Here is a 23,056-nt window from a genome sequence, read left to right on the forward strand (position 1 = left end):
TAAGACATTATGGGAACAAAAGGGTTTGAGGCTTCTAACTTTAGTTGGATTTATCATCCACCCTACTGAAATAATAAAGACACTAAATGAAATAAATATTATTATCATTGTGTATATCTTAAAGGAATAATAACAAGCATAGGGCAGTTAATTTAGGGAAGTAGTACTGCATAGTAGATAATAGCCTGATTTCTGGAGTCAGATTGTCTGGATTCATATCCCTGCTGTGTCATTTACCATCTTTTTGACCTTGGATAATTTTCTTAGCTTCTCTGTGACTCAATTTTTTCATTAGTAAAATGGAGGTAACAATAGCACCTGCCTCATAGTGTTGTTATGTGGATTAACTTAATACCCAACAGTTAATTGAATGGAAACTGCTTAGCCTACCTGGTACCTTGTAAGTGCTTAATAAGTGTTAGTGATTAGTATTACTATTGATAATAATTTATTTTTATCTTTAATTCCCAAATAATTATTGTAATAATGGGTGATTCTCAATGGTAGTGATGATATTTGGTTAGGGAAGGAAGGCAGAGAGGCAAATATGCTATCAGAAGAGGATTCATTTGGATCACTTTTTAACCAGGTCATCTTCACAGACAGTAGATAACTCTGCCAGACCCTGGGAGTCAGGGCATGTAGACCCAGAAGTTAGGTACCTGATGAGGAAATTGTATGCCGTATCTGGAGCGAGTATGATAGCTATGGTTCTCCAACTTTAGTTGAGTCACAGTCAACTGGAGTGCTTACAAGAAATACAGATTTCTGGACCCTACTTCCAATTCCCTGACCTGACCTGATTTGGCAGGTCAGGGACGAGTTCTAGGACTCTGCATATTTAATAGGAGCCCACAGATGATCCCTGTCCTGCTAAGAGAGTCTGTGGACCACACTTTGAAAATCAGTGATAAAGATATTTACCCCTGTCTCTTACTTCATTTCACCAGCTGTGATAGATGCTGGAGGTTGGGAATTGTACAAGTACCCTAACAACTTTCACCAGCTATTGAAAGTCTACTATGTGTCAGACAATGTATTAAGTGCTTTGCCTATATTACCTTATTGAATCTTCATAACCACCCTATGGAGAAGATGCTGTTGGTATTATTTTACAGATGAGGAAATGGAGCCCCAATGAGGTTAAGCAATTTAGCTGCAGTCACACAGCTAGTTGGTGGTAAGGTAGAATTTGACCCAGGGCTGTCTTAATGCTAGACTTCTCTTGGTCTTTCTACTAGGCTGCATTGCCTCTTGTAAGATAGAATGCTTGTTCTGAAGAACCTCACCATCTTCTAAGACATCTGTATGACAGAAGTAGAGGGTTGGCATAGGGGATTTCTGAGAAAAAGATTTAGGGTTGTATTATGAATAGCTTTAAATGGGAAGATATTGGCATGTCTTGTATATATTAATGGCACTTTTCATGCACTGCTGGTGGGCCTGTAAAATGATAGATATCCTTTCTGGAGGGCAAACTGGTAAAATGTAACAGGAATCTTTGAGCCTATGATTATACTTTTAGGAACCAATTTTGAGGAAATGATCCAACAATGGCACAAGAGTGGTCAATGCGGCATTTGCTTTTAACATGAAAAATTAGAAGCCAATGAAACATAACAATTGAGAATTAGTTTAAAAAAATATGTTAGGTTTTCAAAGCATTTAATGTTATAACAAAATACTCAAAATACAGGAGTAAGAAACTTACCATAAACATGTAGTATATTACAATCATAATTTTTATCAAAAATGCATTAATATATACATAGAACGAGGGGAAGGAAATGGGTCCGAATGAATGATCATTTCTAGGCAAAGGGATTGTGGGTAACTGATATTACTCTCTCTCTACCTTTCTAAAATTTCCAGATTGCCTATAGTGAGCATGTACTACTTTTATAATAAAAGAAACCCTGTACAAGTCATTAAGGGAAAAAGAAAATACTGTAGTCATCCAGGTCTGAGAGATAATAGGAACTTGAACTTAGGTGGTAGCAGAGGAGATTGACGTAAGAGACATTATTAAAGGAAATCAACTCATTATGACTTGGTGAGTCTGTGTGGGTGATGAGAGGTAGGGAGAGTAAAAAATAATTTCAAGTTTTCAAGTCTGAGTAATAGAGTGAATGATGGTAACATTGACAGCAAAATCAGATCAATTATCTTTCTCAGAGATGGGAAAATTGCTTTTTTCAATTTGCTGTCTAGAGGATAATATGTTGTTTTTGTCCCGATGAGTCAGATAATTCTGTAATTTGGTGACGCAAATATACTGACAATATGGACCATTAAAAGCACAAGGTATTTTTGTTTTGTCCATTGCAGACCATTAAACAAAATCAGTTCTTTAAAACTAAAAGTATAATAAAAATTCCAGATATGGGGAAGGGTAAGAGAACAAATTTTTATGTCGGCTTTTAACCAAATGAAAAAAATCTGCTTTCTTCACATGGCATCAATTCTCACAAATTGAACTGCATATGCTGCATACTCTTTTACTTCTAGCATCATTGAATTATTGAATGAACATAGCCCTAGAGGTCATCTAATGAGGTGGATGTTGACATGTTTAATTATTTCCCTTTAATTATAAATGTTCAAAACTCGAGATTCTCACTCATCTCCCTCTCTTTAGAGATGGGGACATGAGGAGCCACAGAGAAGTTTCTCAAGGACTGTCACTGTGTTAAGCCAATCTTGTATTGCTATAAAGACATACCTGAAACTGGGTAATTTATAAATAAAAGAGGTTTAATTAGCTCATGGTTCTGCAGGCTTCACAGGAACTGTGGTGCCAGCATCTGCTTCTGGTGAGTATCTCAGGAAGCTTACAGTCATGGTGGAAAGTGAAGGGGGAGCAGGCATCTTACGTGGTGAGAGTGGGAACAAGAGGGGGTAGGAGGTGCCATACACTTTTAAACAGCTCTTATGAGAACTCACTGTTGTGATGACAGCATTAAGCCATGAGGGATCCACCCCTATGACCCAAACACTTCCCACCAGGCCACACTTCCAACGTTGGGGATTACAATTCAGTATGAAATTTGGCAGGGACATATATCCAAACTGTCAGTCACATAGAGAGGCAACTGCAAAACCTGGACTAGAACCCATATAGCCCAAAGTTACCAACTTCCAATCCAAATAAATAATCTTGTCCTTTTTTAAACACTGTCTTCTTCCACACTGCACCATTAATAGTTGTTCTTATAAAAACTTATTTAGTTATGGCCATGAATAAGTTAAATCTTCAGTATAGTTTTCCTTAAAGTTACTCGTGTTTTGATGATGTTTTGTTCATTACTATAGTAATGTTTTGGCCAACAGCATTTCTTTCTGTTGCTTTGCTATTTGCCTTTTCCTTGTGACTAATTGGGCTTCTGGCCATATTGAGGGGAGGTAAGGGGAGTTGCAGAGGGAATTGCTTCTCCTCTCTATCTGCATTTCTCTTATCCATAAAAAAAAAATCTGTCCTCCCCCTGCTTCTTGGAAACCAATTCTTATTTTCAGCATTGTGCCATTTTTATATTCTTGTTCAGAAAGGAGCTTTTTAAACATGGGGATAACATCCAAATACTGCTGATTGTTATTTTTTACTTCAGTGTGTATCTTTTTTTTTTCCTTTTTGAGATGGAGTCTCATTCTATCACTCAGGCTGGAGTGCAGTGGCACGATCTTGGCTCACTGCAAACTTTGCCTCCCAGGTTCAAGTGATTCTCCTGCCTCAGCCTCCCGAGTAGCTGGGACTACAGATGGTGCCACCATGCCTGGCTAATTTTTGTAATTTTAGTAGAAATGGGGTTTTGCCATGTTGGCCAGGCTGGTCTCGAACTCCTGACCTCAGGTGGTCCGCCCGCCTTGGCCTCCCAAAGTGCTGGGATTACAGGCGTGAGCCACCACGCCCAGCCTCAATATTTATCTTTAAAAGCTAAGAATGCTTTCCTACATAGCCAAAATAGCATTACTGTACTTTAAAAATTATTAATTCCTTAATTTCATCTAATACTCAGTCCATATTCAAGTATTTCCAACTGCCCAAATTGTCAGGAGACAGATATTATCCAGTCATCTCACCACTGACCACTAAGACAGTGGTTGAGATTGACCACTATATTTAAGGTGATACAACAGCATGTCCCCTCCTGCCATCTGCACTTATTTCCCCATTGCTTCAACACAGATAATCTGTGTAGTGTTATGCTAGCACCTTGTCAAGTCTTCAGCTAATGCTTTTTACATCAGTTGATATCCTTGCTTGAATCAGTAATTTCCTTAGGGGTTGGGTTGAATATTACAGTTTTTCTCTTTCTATCATTTCTACATTTACTTTTCTTTTTTTTTTCTTTTGAGACAGGATCTTGCTCTGTCACCGAGGCTGGAGGGCAGTGATGCAACCTCTGCTCACTGTAGCCTCGACCTCCTGAGCTCAAGCAGTTTTCCTGCCTCAGCCTCCTGAATAGCTGGGACTATAGTCACGTGCCACCACACTCAGCTAATTTTTAAATTTCTTTTGTAGAGACAAGGTCTCACTATGTTGCCCAGGCTGGTCTTGAATTTCTAGGCTCAAGCGATCCTCTTGCCTCAGCCTCCCAAAGTGCTGGGACTACAGGCATGAGTCACCGTGCCTGGCCCATTTCTACACTTATTAGCTGACAGGTATCTATAAAGCGCTGCTTTCAGTCATCAACTGAGCTCTTTAGTTGTTCTGAAATTCAGTTCCTACTAAAAAGGCAAGATGCATATTTAATCATTTCCCTTTATTTATCCATTAAGGTGAGGAGTTGGATTAATAGACACCTCATAGTACCAAGTTATTCCTCTCCATACCACCACATTCAACTTGGTGTTTTTTTGTTTTTGCTTTTTTTTTTTGAGACAGCGTCTCACTGTGTTGCCCAGGCTGGAATATAGTGGTGCAAACATGGTTCACTGCAGCCTCAACCTCCTGGGCTGAGGCAATCTTCTGATCTCAGCCTCCCAAGTAGCTGGGAATACAGGTGTGCACTACCACGCCCAGCTAATAATTTTTTTTTTTTTTTGTATGAATGGGCTTTTGCCATGTTGCCCAGGCTAGTCTCAAACTCCTGGGCTCAAATGATCTGCCTGCCTTGGCCTCCCAAAGTGCTGGGATTACAGGCATGAGCTACCGTGCTGAGCCTCAACTTGTTCTTTTTCAAGTTGCAATGATTTTAAGGTGTGGAGATCTACAATTCATTTTGTATAACTTTCTGTTTTGAATGATAATCTGAAGAGAGACTGGGGCATGAAATAGGTAGACTTGTATACCAAAGGCCAGTGTTTTTGCATGGGGCTAAGGTACATGAAGCTCACTTCACTTCTGTAGACAATCCACTCTGGAAAATATCTTAACCAAATCTTGAAAGTAATCTTAAGTTGAGACTTGATATTTCATTGTACTACCAAATTTATGCCTTTAAATTATAAAAACCTATATAACATGCCGTTTTTCTAGGCTCACATAATTACCAACTAAAAGCCAGTTGTGTAAGCCCCCTAATCACTGATTTTCTTCATCTATGATGTTTTTCATCTTTGGCCATTACTCTGTTGTTGATTACTTTGTTTTTAAAATTGGCAGTAAGGATTGAATTTTGGGCTGGTAATTGTGTGGATTTGTTTATTTTTTTCTACAAGTGGTTTTAAAATTAGACAGGCATATAATTCACAGAATTGAATAATAGGAAAGAGCCATTGCATTTATTTCTTTTACCTTACATGGACATATTCATAGAAGCAGTACTCAGGAAAAGGCCACTGTGTTGATAAAGGGTGGAAATGAGAGTAATTCAAATTTTGGGGATGAAAAAAGGCAATCAGAAAGATTAATGTATTCTGAGAAGCCCTTTCTGTTGTAGTGTTCACCTCATTAAAACAAATTGCTTTTTTCTTGTCCAGCACAGCCAAGTGTTGGTCTAATGACCGGAAACAAAAGTAATTTTCAGGGTGCATTTTTAATAGTTATACAGTTTTTATTTGTGAAAAATCCATATTACACACACACACACACACACTTCACCACTATACATTCATGCATTTTTTAAATTAAAACTTTTTTTTTTTTTCTGATCACTTGGGAGGATGAGGCAAGCGGATCACCTGAGGTCAGGAGTTCGAGACCAACCTGGCCAACATGGTGAAACCCCGTCTACTAAAAATACAAAATTGACCAGGCATGGTGATGCATGCCTGTAATCCCAGCTACTTGGGAGGCTGAGGCAGGAGAATCGCTTAAGCCTGGGAGGCGGAGGTTGTAATGAGCCGAGATTGAGCCACTGCACTCCAGCCTGGGCAACAAAAATGAGACTCTGTCGCCAAAAAAAAAAAAAATATATATATATATATATACGTATATATGTATATATATGTATATATATATATATATACGTATATACACATATATACGTATATATATTCTTTTAAAAGCAATATACATTTAGTATAGACAAATTAGAACTACAGATAGTCAAGAGAGAAAGACAAAATCACTCTTAATCCTGTCACCCAGATATAACTATCTTTAATGGTATGTGAACAACATAGGGAAACTGAAATACCTTTAGTGATAAATGGAGTAATAGCAACCACAATAATAATAGTTCATACTTATGGAACCTTTACTATGTGTCTTAATAACACTGTCATATTGAATTGTATTTGAATGTAACAAATGAGAATTAAAAGAATTTCTGAACTTTTGATATAAAATAAATTTTAATGATGATTGAAAAGATATTTTTCCATATGCTCTCCCCATTTGCTCCCCATTTTTATAGTTGTTGAACATCTCCATTGTGTCCTCATATAGAGCCCTCATTTAGTCTTACTTCAGTGTGTGGAGATACACTTGATGCTCACTACCATTTTTTATGTCAACATTGCTCCAGTCATTTGGGTTGTTTGAAGCTGGAAAGTTTTCTCAGGAAGTATTCATGGGACCGGCATTTCCTGAATTATTTACAAATTGATGGAATTTGCTACATTTATCATTGAAAGTCATTTTGGCAAAATATAAAATCCATGGCTCATAGGTCCTGCGTTGCGTATCTTAAATGTGTCATCCATTTTCTTCTGGCATAATATGTTTTGTCAGAGTCAGCAGACAATATAATTTTCCTCCTGTATTAAAACACTTGGTCTTTTTGGCTGGTTGTCAAATGATTTTTTTCTTCAAAGTCCAATAATTTTACCAGAATATGTGTTGGCGTTGTGATTTTTTGCAGTGTATGGTGTGCTTTCTCAGTATGTAATTTTAGATCTTTTTTTTTTTAATTTTAGTAAAAGTTTCTTCACTTACAGATTTTAGTTATTCTCTTCCCATGTTTTCTTTGACCTTTCACATCTTTTTTGTTTTGGCACAGGGTCTTGCTCTGTTGGCTGGGCTGGAGTATGGTGGCACCATGATAGCTTATTGCAGACTCCAACATCTGGGCTCAAGTGATCCTCCCAACTCAGCCTCCTGAATAGCTGGGACAGGCATGTGCCACCATGCCTGGCTAATTTTTAAATTTTTTTTAGAGATGCAGTCTTGCTGTGTTGCCCAGTCTGGTCTTGAACTACTGGCTTCAAGTTATTCCCCCACCTGGAACTTCCAGAGTTCAGGAATTATAGGTGTGAGCCGCTGCACCCAGCCCTTCCAGCCCTTTCACATCCTCTTGAATAATTTTCATCCACCTTCATTTCATTTTTGTTAAAAAATCCTACTTTTTAATCTATTTAAGATCTTATCTGATGATATGTTGTGTTTATTTGCCCTGTGTTTCTTCTAGCTTAGTCTTCAATTTTGAAATGATTATTTTCCTTTACTTTTATTTTGTTTTATTTTTTGAGATGGAGTCTCACTCCATCGCCCAGGCTGGAGTGCAGTGGTGCGATCTTGGCTCACTGCAAACTCCGCCTCCCAGGTTCAAGTGATTCTCCTGCCTCAGCCTCCCAAGTAGCTGGGATTACAGGCACATGCCACCATGCCTGGCTAATTTTGTATTGTTATTAGAGATGGGGTTGCACCATGTTGGCCAGGCTGGTCTCGAACCCCTGACCTCAAGTGATCCACCCACCTTGACCTCCCAAAGTGCTGGGATTACAAGCATGAGCCACTGCGCCCAGCCTTCTTTTACTTTTAATTCTTCTGTGAGTTTTGTCATCCAATTTCTGAGTTGTTTATATTGACTTTTAATATATTCTTCTACATTGATTACTTTTTTTATATCATGTAACTTTTTAAATATACTTCAGCTAGTTTTGAAATATTAGGTTGTAGTTTTCATCTATTTTGTGGATATATCGTTCTGTTATGTTTTAATTCTGTAAGAGTATTATTCTGTGGCTCATTTTTATTTTATTCTTTAATTTTAAACATTTTTTATTTTAAAAATAATTGTCACTTTGGGAGGCTGAGGCAGACAGATCACAAGGTCAGGAGTTCAAGACCAGCTTGGCCAACATAGCAAAACCCCGTCTCTACTAAAAATACAAAAAAATTAGCCAGGCTTGGTGGCGGGTGCCTGTAATCCCAGCTACTTGGGTGGCTGAGGCAAGGAGAATCGCTTGAACCTGGAGGCAGAAGTTGCAGTGAGCCAAGATCACGCCTCTGCACTCCAGCCCGGGCAACAGTGTGAGACTCCATCTCAAAAAAAAAAAAAATTATTATTTTTGTAGAGGTGGGGTTTCACCATATTGCCCAGGCTGGTCTCAAATTCCTGGGCTCAAGCAATCCTCCTGCCTTGGCCTCCCAAAGTGCTGGGATTATAGGCGTGAACAACCACACTTGGCTTCTGTTGTTCATTTTTGTATGAAATCAGTTTCCTGAACTTTTAGAAGGAGGCTTGATTGAGACAAGTTGTTTCTTTCCCTAATTTTATGGCTGTAGAGCTCCATCCTCTAATGAATTACATTCTGAAATCTCCTGGCCCTTTCTGTCTACCTTTCTGCTTTGATCTAGGCTTTCTTTTTTGTCGCTCTTGTCCCTGTCCTGACTAATTTGTAATCCAGTTTCACCAGTTTCTCCTCAGAGTGCAGCTTTGCCCTGGAAGGGATTAAGGATTAGTTTTGAGTTTCTGGAGGCCCAGGCTGCTTTCAGTCTAGACCACGGACTCCTTGCACTCAATCACTGTTTGAAAATGCAAACCCTTCCCTTTATCAGTTGTTCATAAATTTGCTTGCTGAAGTTGAGTTATTTTACAGTTCTCAGATCTATAGGATGCCATGTTGAGTCCGTTTATATACTCTTCCACAGCTTATACCATTTTGGTCCTGTAACTATCTCTAATTTGTCCACATTCACTCTTACTTTGAGGTTCATGGGGGAAATGTTTTCATCTTGTTTTGTTGTAGATTTCATCTTGTGTTGGTAGATTTTGGATTTACTTTCCTATTGGGGGAACCAGCCCCCAATATTTCAACGTAAGTTCTTTTCTATTTTCCCTAAGTGTCAGCCGGTCTGATAAATAAAGGGAAAGAGTACAAAAGAGAGAAATTTTAAAGCTGGATGTCTGGGGGAGACATCACATGTCAGCAGGTTCCATGATGCCCCCTAAGCCGTAAAACCAGCAAGTTTTTATTAGCAATTTTCAAAGGGGAGGGAGTGTACGAATAGGGTGTGGGTCACAGAGATCACATGCTTCAAGGGCAACAAAATATCACAAGGCAAATGGGCAGGGCAAGGTCACAAGGCCAGGGCGAAACTAGAATTTCGCCTGGTTCCTGGTCCTGCTGTGCATGCATTGTCATTGATAAACATCAGGAAACAGGGTTTGAGAGCAGACAACCATTCTGACTAAAATTTACTAGGCAGAAATTTCCTAATCCTAATAAGCCTGAGGGTGCTGCAGGAGACTAGGGCGTGTTTCATCTCTATCTATGACTGCATAAGGCAGACACTCCTAGAGCAGCCATTTTAGAGGCCTCCTCCTGGGAATGCATTCTTTTCCCAGGGCTGTTAATTGCTAATATTCCTTACTGGGGAAATAATTCAGTGATATTTCTCGTACCTGTTTTTGGCAATAAGAGAAATATGACTGTCCTGCCCGGCTCCAGGCAGTCAGACCTAATGGTTATCTCCCTTGTTCCCTGAACATTGCTGTTATCCTTTTCTTTTTTCAAGGTGCCCAGATTTCATATTGTTCAAACACACATGCTTTATGAACAATTTGTGCAGTTAATGCAATCATCACAGGGGCCTGAGGCGACATACATCCTCAGTTTATGAAGATGACGGGATTAAGAGATTAAAGTAAAGATAGGCATAGGAAGTTATAAGAGTATTGATTGGGGAAGTGATAAATGTCTATGAAATCTTCACAATTTATGTTCAGAGATTGCAGTAAAGAGAGGCGTAAGAAATTATAAAAGTATTAATTTGGAGAACTAATAAATGTCCATGAAATCTTCACAATTTATATTCTTCTGTCATGACTTCAGCAGGTCCCTCCGTTCGGGGTCCCTGACTTCACGCAACACTTTCCTATTTATATTTCCAACTTGTGTTTTTTTATGGTGATATTTGGGAATATTCAAAAACGATGCTGCTACCACCATCTTCTTCGCAGAATTTTTCTGCAAACTATAGACCAAGGGGCAAATTCTGCCTGCCACTTGTTTTTGTACAGTCTTTAACCTAAGAATGGTTTTTGTGCTTCTAAATAGTTGGGAAAAAAATGTAAGAATACTATTTCATGGCACATGAAATTAAGATTTCAGTGTCATACAGTTTCGTTGGCCAGGCCCATTCATTTATATATTGTCTGTGGCTGCTTTCATGCTACAACAGCAGAGTTGTTTTATAGGCACAGAGACTATATGGCCCCCGAAGCTGAAAATACTTCTTATCTAGCCATTTTCAGGAAAAGTTAGTCAACCCTGGTCCCCTATAATATAGTTTTTAGTGGCTAAATAATATTCCATTGTGTGCACATATTATAATGTACTTAACAAAATTCCTATTGGCATTTGGATGAATCCTAAATTTCATTGTATAGGCATCATTTCACAGCTAAGTATAAGCATATGTATTAATATTTTATTACTGTCTTAGGATAAATTGTTACAAGCCAAATTGCATGATCAAGGGGGAGGGTATATGTATTTTAAACTCTTTGACTGATACAGGCTGAGTATTCCTAATCTGAAAATCTAAAATCCGAAATGCTCCCAAATCTGAAACTTTCTAACATGACGTTCAAAGGAAATGTTCATTGCAACATTTGGAATTTCAGATTTTTGCGTTAGTGATGCTCAGCTGGTAAGTATATAGTGCAAATATTCCAAAAGCTGAAACACTTCTGGTCCCAAGCATTTTGCATAAGGGATATTCTACCTGTATTGACAAATTGTCATCCAGAAAGGTTGTACAAATTAAATTCCCATTAAGGAAACTGGCTAAATAAGTTATGGTGCATTCATGCAATGAAATATTATGTAGAGGTTAAAATGAGGTAGATCACTTTTACTGATGTATAAAAATATAACATACACTGTTAGGTGAAACACCCAGGTTACATATGGAGAGTATGATTCCTTTGTGTTAAGGAAACTGGGGCATTAAAATGCACAAACAAATTTTTTCATAAGAAGCATAGATTACAACTAAGTTGTGCCAGTTCATATACCTACCAGCAGTATGTTCGACTGGTTGTTTGACCATACTTTTGCCAATATGATATTACCTAATTTTAAAATTCTTGCCAAGTTAATAGATGAGAAAAGAGCGTCTTAATTTTACAGTCAGGTTTTGTACTTTTTCCCAAGTTTATTGGCTTGAATTAATTCTTTTGTGAAATTCTTGTTCCACGTCCATTTTTCCTTGTTGTATTCATCTTTTGGTGGTTTGTAAAGCTCTTTACGTATTAGATATTAACCCTCTGGCTTCTTATCCATGTTTTCCTTTGTATTGTATTTAGGGTGATTAATGATGTACAAAAGGTTTTTCCTTTTTTATGCAGTCAAATCTTCCTGTATTTTTAGGTGTAAAGAGCCCTTTCCACCTTAGATTTATATAGTTGTTCCTCTACATATTTTTCTAGTACTTATTTGATTTTTTTTAACATTGAGATCTTTAATCCATCAGGGATTTATTCATGTAGGCTATGAGGTAGGGTTTAGCATTGTTTTCAAATGCTTATATTACCCACTTGTCTTAGTGTCATTTATTAAATAAGCCATTTTTTCAAGGTTATATAATTTTTTCAAATTGTTTTTATTAGAAATCTATACATTTCACATGTTTTAAAATCAAGTTTGAGGTGTAATTTACAATAAAATTTACTCTTTTTTGAGTGTTCAGTTAGAAGAATGTTAGCAAATATATGCAATTTTGTAACCACTGCTCCATTAAAAATATAGAATATTTCCATCATCTCCTAAAAGTTATCTTGTAGTCCTTTGCAGTCAACCCCCTCTGTTAATCGCCTTGCAAACACTGATCAGTTTTCTGTCCCTAAAGTCTTACAAGATGTCCTATAAATGAAATCACACAGTACATAGCTTTTTGAGTTTGGCTTCTTTTACTCAGCATAATGTGTTTAAGAGACATCCACACTGTGGTGTGTGTCAGTAGTTCATTTCCTTTTATTGCTGAGCAGTATTCTATAATATGGTTGTAACCACAGTTTATTTAACCATTCACTTGTTCAAGGACATCAGAGTTGTATCTAGTTTTTAATCTATTATTAGTGAAAATGCTATAAACATTCATGTAGAAGTCTTTGTGTGACATGTTTTCATTTCTCTTGGGTAAATACCTGGGAGTGGGATTTCTGGGTCATGTGGTAAGTGTATGTGTTATTTTATAACCAAGTGTCAGACTGTTTTCCATAATGATTGCACTATCTTATTTTTACCAACAATACATAGAGATCTAGTTTCTCTGCGTTCTTATGAGCGCTTGGAATTGTCGGTATTTTTAATTTTAGCCATTCTAGTAGGTGTGTCAGGGTTATATAATTTGTTTAGAATAATTTGCATATTTTGAGCAGTGTTTCCCAACTCATCCCCTCATCTCTTAACTTGCCCAGTCCATCTTCAGTTGCACAACCTGAGGCAGCTCTTGTTTCTGTTTTTCTTCTTTCCATTTCTTTTCTAAGAACATCTGTGCAGAAAACGAGCTTAGACATAACCTAATGCAGGGTTTGGTAGACTTTTTTCTGTAAAGGGCCAGATAATAAATGATTTTGTTTTTGCAAGCCATTCAGTCTCTGTCACAACTCAACTCTGCCATTATAACATGAATGCAGGTGAAGGCAATATGAAACAAAGACCAGCATTCAGCCGGATTTGACCTGTGGACCATAGTTTGCTGACCCCTGGTTTAGTATAACAACTTTATTTTACAGATGAGAGGACCGAGCTCATGTTTCACCCTTTCCTCTGATTTACAAGTAAAAGTAAAAAAAAGGCAAGGACCAGGATATTGGCTTTTACCATAAGAGACATGCTTGAATTGGGTTCAAGATAAGTGTGCTTTATGTGTAATTTCCTGTTCTAGCAAATGATGTTAGATGAAGCTCTTAATATAGGGTCTTTCGGCAATTTCGATTGCAGTAAGACTTTAGGAACATCTTATGTTTTACCATTCATCTCAATGCTACTTGACTTTTTGAACCTATTATGTCTCTGGAGCAATGAGCATTAAGAAAATAAAGGTAATAAAGGTCTCAGCAAAACAGTTGGAGTAAGAACGGCATGACATCCTTTTATTCTTCTTAATAGATTTTATTTCCAGTGGTGGAAATGTCCAAATTTGTTTATTTCTGGAGATAGTCATTGTACATCATGTAACTATCTCATGATTCCCACCTCCATTTAATATTAATTCCTGATTGTTCTGTTTCATTAATCATTCAGATAGATAAAGATTCTTAGGTCAAAAAAAAAAAAAAAACAGGAAATCATACCCCTACGGTTCCATCCACACAAACCTAAAAATAAGCATTGGCACTAAGTACTCAGGGAAAGAACACTGTTTAGATATGTCATTGTGTATGTGTTTTTTTCCTCCCTTCTAGCACTGGAAGAAGTACGACATCTATGAGAAGCAAACCAAGGAGGAAACCGACTCTGTAGTGCTGATAGAAAACCTGAAGAAAGCCTCTCAGTGATGGAGATAATTTATTTTTACCTTCACTGTGACCTTGAGAAGATTCTTCCCATTCTCCATTTGTTATCTGGGAACTTATTAAATGGAAACTGAAACTACTGCACCATTTAAAAACAGGCAGCTCATAAGAGCCACAGGTCTTTATGTTGAGTCGCGCACCGAAAAACTAAAAATAATGGGCGCTTTGGAGAAGAGTGTGGAGTCATTCTCATTGAATTATAAAAGCCAGCAGGCTTCAAACTAGGGGACAAAGCAAAAAGTGATGATAGTGGTGGAGTTAATCTTATCAAGAGTTGTGACAACTTCCTGAGGGATCTATACTTGCTTTGTGTTCTTTGTGTCAACATGAACAAATTTTATTTGTAGGGGAACTCATTTGGGGTGCAAATGCTAATGTCAAACTTGAGTCACAAAGAACATGTAGAAAACAAAATGGATAAAATCTGATATGTATTGTTTGGGATCCTATTGAACCATGTTTGTGGCTATTAAAACTCTTTTAACAGTCTGGGCTGGGTCCGGTGGCTCACGCCTGTAATCCCAGCAATTTGGGAGTCCGAGGCGGGCGGATCACTCGAGGTCAGGAGTTCCAGACCAGCCTGACCAAAATGGTGAAACCTCCTCTCTACTAAAACTACAAAAATTAACTGGGTGTGGTGGCGCGTGCCTGTAATCCCAGCTACTCGGGAAGCTGAGGCAGGTGAATTGTTTGAACCTGGGAGGTGGAGGTTGCAGTGAGCAGAGATCACACCACTGCACTCTAGCCTGGGTGACAGAGCAAGACTCTGTCTAAAAAACAAAACAAAACAAAACAAAACAAAAAAACCTCTTAATATTCTGGAGTCATCATTCCCTTCGACAGCATTTTCCTCTGCTTTGAAAGCCCCAGAAATCAGTGTTGGCCATGATGACAACTACAGAAAAACCAGAGGCAGCTTCTTTGCCAAGACCTTTCAAAGCCATTTTAGGCTGTTAGGGGCAGTGGAGGTAGAATGACTCCTTGGGTATTAGAGTTTCAACCATGAAGTCTCTAACAATGTATTTTCTTCACCTCTGCTACTCAAGTAGCATTTACTGTGTCTTTGGTTTGTGCTAGGCCCCCGGGTGTGAAGCACAGACCCCTTCCAGGGGTTTACAGTCTATTTGAGACTCCTCAGTTCTTGCCACTTTTTTTTTTAATCTCCACCAGTCATTTTTCAGACCTTTTAACTCCTCAATTCCAACACTGATTTCCCCTTTTGCATTCTCCCTCCTTCCCTTCCTTGTAGCCTTTTGACTTTCATTGGAAATTAGGATGTAAATCTGCTCAGGAGACCTGGAGGAGCAGAGGATAATTAGCATCTCAGGTTAAGTGTGAGTAATCTGAGAAACAATGACTAATTCTTGCATATTTTGTAACTTCCATGTGAGGGTTTTCAGCATTGATATTTGTGCATTTTCTAAACAGAGATGAGGTGGTATCTTCACGTAGAACATTGGTATTCGCTTGAGAAAAAAAGAATAGTTGAACCTATTTCTCTTTCTTTACAAGATGGGTCCAGGATTCCTCTTTTCTCTGCCATAAATGATTAATTAAATAGCTTTTGTGTCTTACATTGGTAGCCAGCCAGCCAAGGCTCTGTTTATGCTTTTGGGGGGCATATATTGGGTTCCATTCTCACCTATCCACACAACATATCCGTATATATCCCCTCTACTCTTACTTCCCCCAAATTTAAAGAAGTATGGGAAATGAGAGGCATTTCCCCCACCCCATTTCTCTCCTCACACACAGACTCATATTACTGGTAGGAACTTGAGAACTTTATTTCCAAGTTGTTCAAACATTTACCAATCATATTAATACAATGATGCTATTTGCAATTCCTGCTCCTAGGGGAGGGGAGATAAGAAACCCTCACTCTCTACAGGTTTGGGTACAAGTGGCAACCTGCTTCCATGGCCGTGTAGAAGCATGGTGCCCTGGCTTCTCTGAGGAAGCTGGGGTTCATGACAATGGCAGATGTAAAGTTATTCTTGAAGTCAGATTGAGGCTGGGAGACAGCCGTAGTAGATGTTCTACTTTGTTCTGCTGTTCTCTAGAAAGAATATTTGGTTTTCCTGTATAGGAATGAGATTAATTCCTTTCCAGGTATTTTATAATTCTGGGAAGCAAAACCCATGCCTCCCCCTAGCCATTTTTACTGTTATCCTATTTAGATGGCCATGAAGAGGATGCTGTGAAATTCCCAACAAACATTGATGCTGACAGTCATGCAGTCTGGGAGTGGGGAAGTGATCTTTTGTTCCCATCCTCTTCTTTTAGCAGTAAAATAGCTGAGGGAAAAGGGAGGGAAAAGGAAGTTATGGGAATACCTGTGGTGGTTGTGATCCCTAGGTCTTGGGAGCTCTTGGAGGTGTCTGTATCAGTGGATTTCCCATCCCCTGTGGGAAATTAGTAGGCTCATTTACTGTTTTAGGTCTAGCCTATGTGGATTTTTTCCTAACATACCTAAGCAAACCCAGTGTCAGGATGGTAATTCTTATTCTTTCGTTCAGTTAAGTTTTTCCCTTCATCTGGGCACTGAAGGGATATGTGAAACAATGTTAACATTTTTGGTAGTCTTCAACCAGGGATTGTTTCTGTTTAACTTCTTATAGGAAAGCTTGAGTAAAATAAATATTGTCTTTTTGTATGTCACCCAAATGTTTTCCTTTGGTCTTATTTTGGGGAAATGGTGGGAGGTAGAGAAAATTGGAGTTAAAAGAAGAAACATTATGAAAAAATTCCAAGCCAGCTATTTTATCTTATAATCATTCATCATGAGTTTCTTTGATGTTCTGGCTGTTCCGGTGTGCCTATGTTTTCTGATAAGGGCATAAATACACTTAGTTTAATATTAATTTAGCCTTTGTAAGCAGCACTTGAAGGGACTTAAGTATTCAATAAATTGTAGTTATGATAATTAATGGAAATGGAGGGTTGGTCCTTTCTAATATTAAGCTAAAGTGGAATGCAATATGATTAATGATATACATGATGTGCAATGTCTAGTCACAAGGGAATATATTAGCAGGTTAGATTAGAGACCAAGAAAGTCAGTTTTTGACTGGACGCAGTGGCTCACGCCTGTAATCCCAGCACTTTGGAAGGCTGAAGCGGGCTGATCATGAGGTCAGGAGATCCAGACCATCCTGGCTAACACGGTGAAACCCCAGCTGTACTAAAAATACAAAAAAATTAGCTGGGTGTAGTGGCGGGCGACTGTGGTCCCAGCTACTCAGGAGGCTGAGGCAGGAGAATGGCGTGAACCCGGGAGGTGGAGCTTGCAGCATGCCACTGCACTCCAGCCTGGGCAACAGAGCGAGACTCCGTCTCAAAAAAAAAAAAAAAAAAAGAAAAAGAAAAAAAAATCAGTTTTCAATAGCTGTCCTTTTAAAAGCTGGTGATACAGTTTCATATTTTCTATAACTACAGCAAAATGGTTTTAATGTCATGGAGGTTTTCTTCCCCTCATTTGTGTTAAGCTCAAGGAGTGTGTCTTCAGCCAGATCACATTTGCTAATTACCCTGAATCTTTATAGAATCCAAACCCTAGGGAAAGAGTGAGGGTGCTGATCTTGGTCAAGTTATTTATCTGGAATTATCCAGGAAGATTCTGAAAATCCGTTTCTAGGTAAGTGTAGCTGTTTTGTTGTTCTTGTTATTTTAAAATAAGAAACCTCTTTTCTGATTCTTAACACATCAACAGTGAGTATTACAACAGAAAACATTTAAAATTGAGAACCCCCTTGAGGTCGTAAATTTGTGTGAGATCTATGGAAAACAAATTCCTGTAGCCACAAACATGATCACTTTGTCTCAGGGGTAGAGGAGCCAGAGTGATCTAAGCACATTTGATTTCCAGAGGAATTTATCATTTCCTTGTTTCCATGAACTCTTGCTCTTTTGAAGGTGTAACTTATGCTCACATGAATAGCACATTATGCTACTAACTTATTAGTAGTTTTAAAAGAAAGCAAGAGGACAAGAACATTTATTTCAGAGACTCTGTTTTCTTTTAAACCCTAACGGTTGAGTCAAACAAAGTCTTTTTTGTAAATACTGTAGCTAAATCTTGGCATGCTTTTACTTTAAGCAAGGGAGGAGTTTTACTGACATTTGGATGTGCTAGATATTTTTGACATCAATCCCCAAGATGATTTCTTCTTGAAGGTTCTCTGGCTTTTTACTATCTTTCCTAACGGTCACATTTTTAGTTTACCATTAGCAACAGGAAAATATTTAACTGCTGGTTTTCAGCATTTATTGGGTAGACCATTATAAAAAGAAAATTAATAGTTTCTGAGTGGCTCCTATGTGCCGAGTTACATGTGTGATTTCACATAATCTGTATGCTGGTCCCATGAGTTAGGTTGTGTTGTTAACGTCATTTTACAGATGAAGAAACTGAGACATAGAGCGATTGAGCTGTGTATGCAAGATCACATAGCTAGTAAGAGACTAAGACAAAATTGGGAAGCAAGTCAGCCTGACTTTAAAGCCTGTATAATATAGTCAGTGGTATATTTACTTGTCCCCAAAAGGCAGTTACCTAAAGAAAAAAACATCTTATTTCGCATTTTGCCAAATTGCTTATCAACTGGAAGATTTCTGATTTTAAATCATTAATTGCAAAGTGAGCATTTTATAGCATCTTTTTTGTTTTGTTTTGTTTTTTTGAGACGGGATTTTGCTCGTGTTGCCCAGGCTGGAGTGCAATGGCACAATCTCAGTTCACCACAACCTCTGCCTCCCGGGTTCAAGGGATTCTCCTGCCTCAGCCCCCCAAGTAGCTGAGACTAGGTGACCGCCACCACGCCCGGCTAATGTTTGTATTTTTAGTAGAGATGGGGTTTCTCCATGTTGGTCAGGCTGGTCTCGAACTCCCGGCCTCAGGTGATCCGCCCGCCTCGGCCTCCCAAAGTGCTGGGATTACAGGCGTGAGCCACCGTGCCTGGCCTATAGTGTCTTTTAAGAGATTCATTTGTGCATTCATTTATCTACGAGCTAGACAATGTGTTATGTAATAGGAATTTAGAAGTCAATAAGATTTGGCTTAGTATCAGGTGGTTAGTTAAGGGAAGGCTACTTTGTATAGGGGAAAGAAACCTGGATTATCATTTAGGAGTTCCAAATGAATGTGGGCAGATAACTTTCTCTGTCTGGGTCTGTTTCCCTATCTGTAAAATGAAGGTGTTAGACAGTGATGTATAATCCCATCCATGACTCCTAATGGTGACCATAGGTTGTGGAGTTCATTTGGAAGTGAGAATCTTTGCTATAAACACTAGCTCTAGGCATCAGCGTTCTCATCTGTAAAATGAGGAGGTTGGACTAGATTAGCTCTATTAATTTTGACATCCAATAAAGGTTAAGATGATTTTTGTTTTACAAATCAAGAAAATACCTCTTATTCACTACAGGATGTAGCGAAACTGCCAAAAATAACCAGAGGAGCAGGCCCTTTAATGCAGTGGGAAGAACAAAGGAATTAATACATTAGATGAAACCTGTGGTCTACCCAAATCAGGATTTTCACAAGGGCCCAGCCATGATTGCATCTAACAAATATTTCTTAATATGCATGTATGATACTTTAAAAGCCAAAGAGTATTATAGGGCTTATCATTTAAAAAAAGCAGCCTCCTGTCCCACTCCTCCTTACCCCTGATTCCTGCTCCTAGAAAAGATGTCAACACCCTAATTCTGGGACCTGTGGCTATGTAACTTTACATGGAAAAAGGAACTTTGCAGATGTAATTGTGGTTCAGGCCTTAAGATAGATTTTCCTGGATTATCTGGGTGAGCCCAATATCAAGCCCTTAGAAGCCGAGAAATTGGCTGCTTTGGCTGAAAGCAGAAGAGGGAGAAAGAGCCAAAGCACAAAAAGGGCTCAAAGTGCTGTTGCTGGCTTGAGGATGTAAGGGGCCATGTAGGAAGTGTGAGAAGGAACTGGATACTACCAGTAACTTGAGTGGGCCTGGATGCAGATTTTCTCCCAGAGCCTCCATATAGGAGCACAAGCTGGCAGACACCATAATCTGGGCCTTGTGAGACCCTGAGCAGAGAGTGCAGCCACACTGTGCTGGACTTCTGACCTACAGAAGTGTGATATAATATGTTTGTGTTATTTTAAACTACATTTAACATGTTTTACCTGTTTCTTTTGGTATATAACCCTTTACTTTTGAATAATACCCTAATATTGCAATTTCTTTAGATTTAGAAATGATCTTTCTTCTGTAGAAGATGAGGAATTAGCTTGCTTTTATGCCTCTCAACACGCACTTGTGCACACATACTCACACTTCTCTTCCAAAAATATAAATATTTTCGTTAAAATAGTCAATATTTGCATTATACTTATATAAATATTGCTTGTGGTTAACTTATGCACTGTACCATTAATTATATTTTTTTGTTTTTTTCCCCATATTGTCTCCCCTTTATTTTTTTATGTACCTGTCATGAGTTCAATCCCAAACTTTTCCCCATATTGTCTCCCTTTCTTTGATTTATTTTTGTATGTACCTGTCATGAGTTCAATCCCAAACTTTTCTGAAGAACCATAACACTTCACTCAATATGATCAAACATGTTAGGTAATCCATGAGTTTCATGAATTTTTGGGGGGAGACAGCCCTCTTTAGAGTTTGCTGCCCTCCTGATCCATCCTGAAATGGTTGTTCTCTAGGCCGAGCACCTAGCTGCCATCCTGGGAATTCCCTCCACTTCCAGCTTCTGTTTCCTGCATTCCCAGTTGTCCCCCTTCTTGGATTATGCCCTGGTTTTGCTGGACCACACCGTTTACTAAGTTCCTTAGAAAGGTTGCATGGGAGGTGATTTTTATTTTTTTCAGACAGGGTCTCATTCTATTGCCCAGGCTAGAGTACAGTGGTGAGAGGGGACAGCGTGCTGGCAGTCCTCACAGCCCTCGCTCGCTCTCGGCGCCTCCTCTGCCTGGGCTCCCACTTTGGCGGCACTTGAGGAGCCCTTCGGCCCGCCGCTGCACTGTGGGAGCCCCTTTCTGGGCTGGCCAAGGCTGGAGCCCACTCCCTCAGCTTGCAGGGAGGTGTGGAGGGAGAGGCACGAGCGGGAACCGGGGCTGCGTGAGGCGCTTGTGGGCCAGCTGGAGTTCCGGGTGGGCATGGGCTTGGCGGGGCCCGCACTCGGAGCAGCCAGCCAGCCCTGCTGGCCCCGGGCAATGGGGGACTTAGCACCCGGGCCAATGGCTGCGGAGGGTGTACTGAGTCCCCCAGCAGTGCCGGCCCACCGGCGCTGTGCTCGATTTCTCACCGAGCCTTAGCTGCCTTCCCGCGGGGCAGGGCTCGGGACCTGCAGCCCTCCATGCCTGAGCCTCCCACCCACTCCATGGGCTCCTGTGCGGCCCGAGCCTCCCGGACGAGCACTACCCCCTGCTCCACGGCGCCCAGTCCCATTGACCACCCAAGGGCTGAGGAATGCGAGCGCACAGTGCAGGACTGGCAGGCAGCTCCACCTGCAGCCCCTGTGCGGGATCCACGAGGTGAAGCCAGCTGAGCTCCTGAGTCTGGTGGGGACGTGGAGAGTCTTTGTATGTAGCTCAGGGATTGTAAATACACCAATCAGCACCCTGTGTTTAGCTCAAGGTTTGTGAGTGCACCAATCGACACTCTGTATCTAGCTGCTCTGGTGAGGATGTGGAGAACCTTTATGTCTAGCTCAGGGATTGTAAACACACCAATCATCACCCTGTGTGTAGCTCAAGGTTTGTGAGTGCACCAATCGACACTCTGTATCTAGCTGCTCTGGTGGGGCCTTGGAGAACCTTTATGTCTAGCTCAGGGATTGTAAACACACCAATCAGCACCTTGTGTTTAGCTCAAGGTTTGTGAGTGCACCAATCGACACTCTGTATCTAGCTGCTCTGGTGGGGCCTTGGAGAACCTTTATGTCTAGCTCAGGGATTGTAAACACACCAATCAGCACCTTGTGTTTAGCTCAAGGTTTGTGAGTGCACCAATCGACACTCTGTATCTAGCTGCTCTGGTGGGGCCTTGGAGAACCTTTATGTCTAGCTCAGGGATTGTAAATACACCAATCGGCACTCTGTATCTAGCTGAAGGTTTGTAAACACACCAATCAGCACCCTGTGTTTAGCTCAAGGTTTGTGAGTGCACCAATTGACACTCTGTATCTAGCTGCTCTGGTGGGGCCTTGGAGAACCTGTGTATCCAAAGTCTGTATCTAACTAATCTAATGGGGAGGTAGAGAACCTTTGTATCTAGCTCAGGGATTGTAAACGTACCAATAAGTGCCCTGACAAAACAGGCCACTGGGCTCTACCAATCAGCAGGATGTGGGTGGGGCCAGATAAGAGAATAAAAGCAGGCTGCCTGAGCCAGCAGTGGCGACCCGCGCGGGTCCCCTTCCACTTCTTTCACTCTTTGCAATATCTTGCTACTGCTCACTCTTTGGGTCCACGCTGCTTTTATGAGCTGTAACACTCACTGCGAAGACCTGCGGCTTCACTCCTGAGCCCAGCGAGACCACGAGCCCACCGGGAGGAACGAAGAACTCCAGACGCGCTACCTTAAGAGCTGTAACACACACCGCCAAGGTCTGCAGCTTCACTCATTAGCCAGTGAGACCACGAACCCACCAGAAGGAAGAAACTCGGAACACATCTGAACATCAGAAGGGACAGACTCCAGACGCGCCACCTTAAGAGCTGTAACAGTCACGGCGTGGGTCCGCGGCTTCATTCTTGAAGTCAGGGAGACCAAGAACCCACCAATTCGGGACAGTGGCATGATCACGGCTCACTGCAGCCTCGACCTTCCGGGCTGAAGTGATCATCCCACCTCAGCCTCCCAATTAGCTCGGACTATGGGCACATACCACCATGCCCAGCTAAGTTTCATTCATTTTATTTTATTTAT

General features: G+C 40.1%; 1 protein-coding gene across 2 annotated transcripts in view; it reads left to right on the forward strand.

The window, feature by feature from the left end:
• Positions 1–23,056, forward strand: part of IL13RA1 (interleukin 13 receptor subunit alpha 1) — a 77,623-nt gene that overhangs the window by 50,135 nt on the left and 4,432 nt on the right. Inside the window, exon 11 of one of the 2 annotated variants that reach the window (NM_001560.3) lies at positions 14,022–16,793. The exons of the other annotated variant lie outside the window; for it this stretch is intronic. Within the exon in view, the coding sequence (NP_001551.1) occupies positions 14,022–14,114 (93 nt within the window). The 3' untranslated portion in view covers positions 14,115–16,793. Of the gene's footprint in view, positions 1–14,021; positions 16,794–23,056 lie in introns of those variants that run through there. 2 annotated transcript variants of the gene reach the window in all.

This window comes from Homo sapiens, chromosome X, assembly GCF_000001405.40.
Source record: "Homo sapiens chromosome X, GRCh38.p14 Primary Assembly".
NCBI lineage: Eukaryota > Metazoa > Chordata > Mammalia > Primates > Hominidae > Homo > Homo sapiens.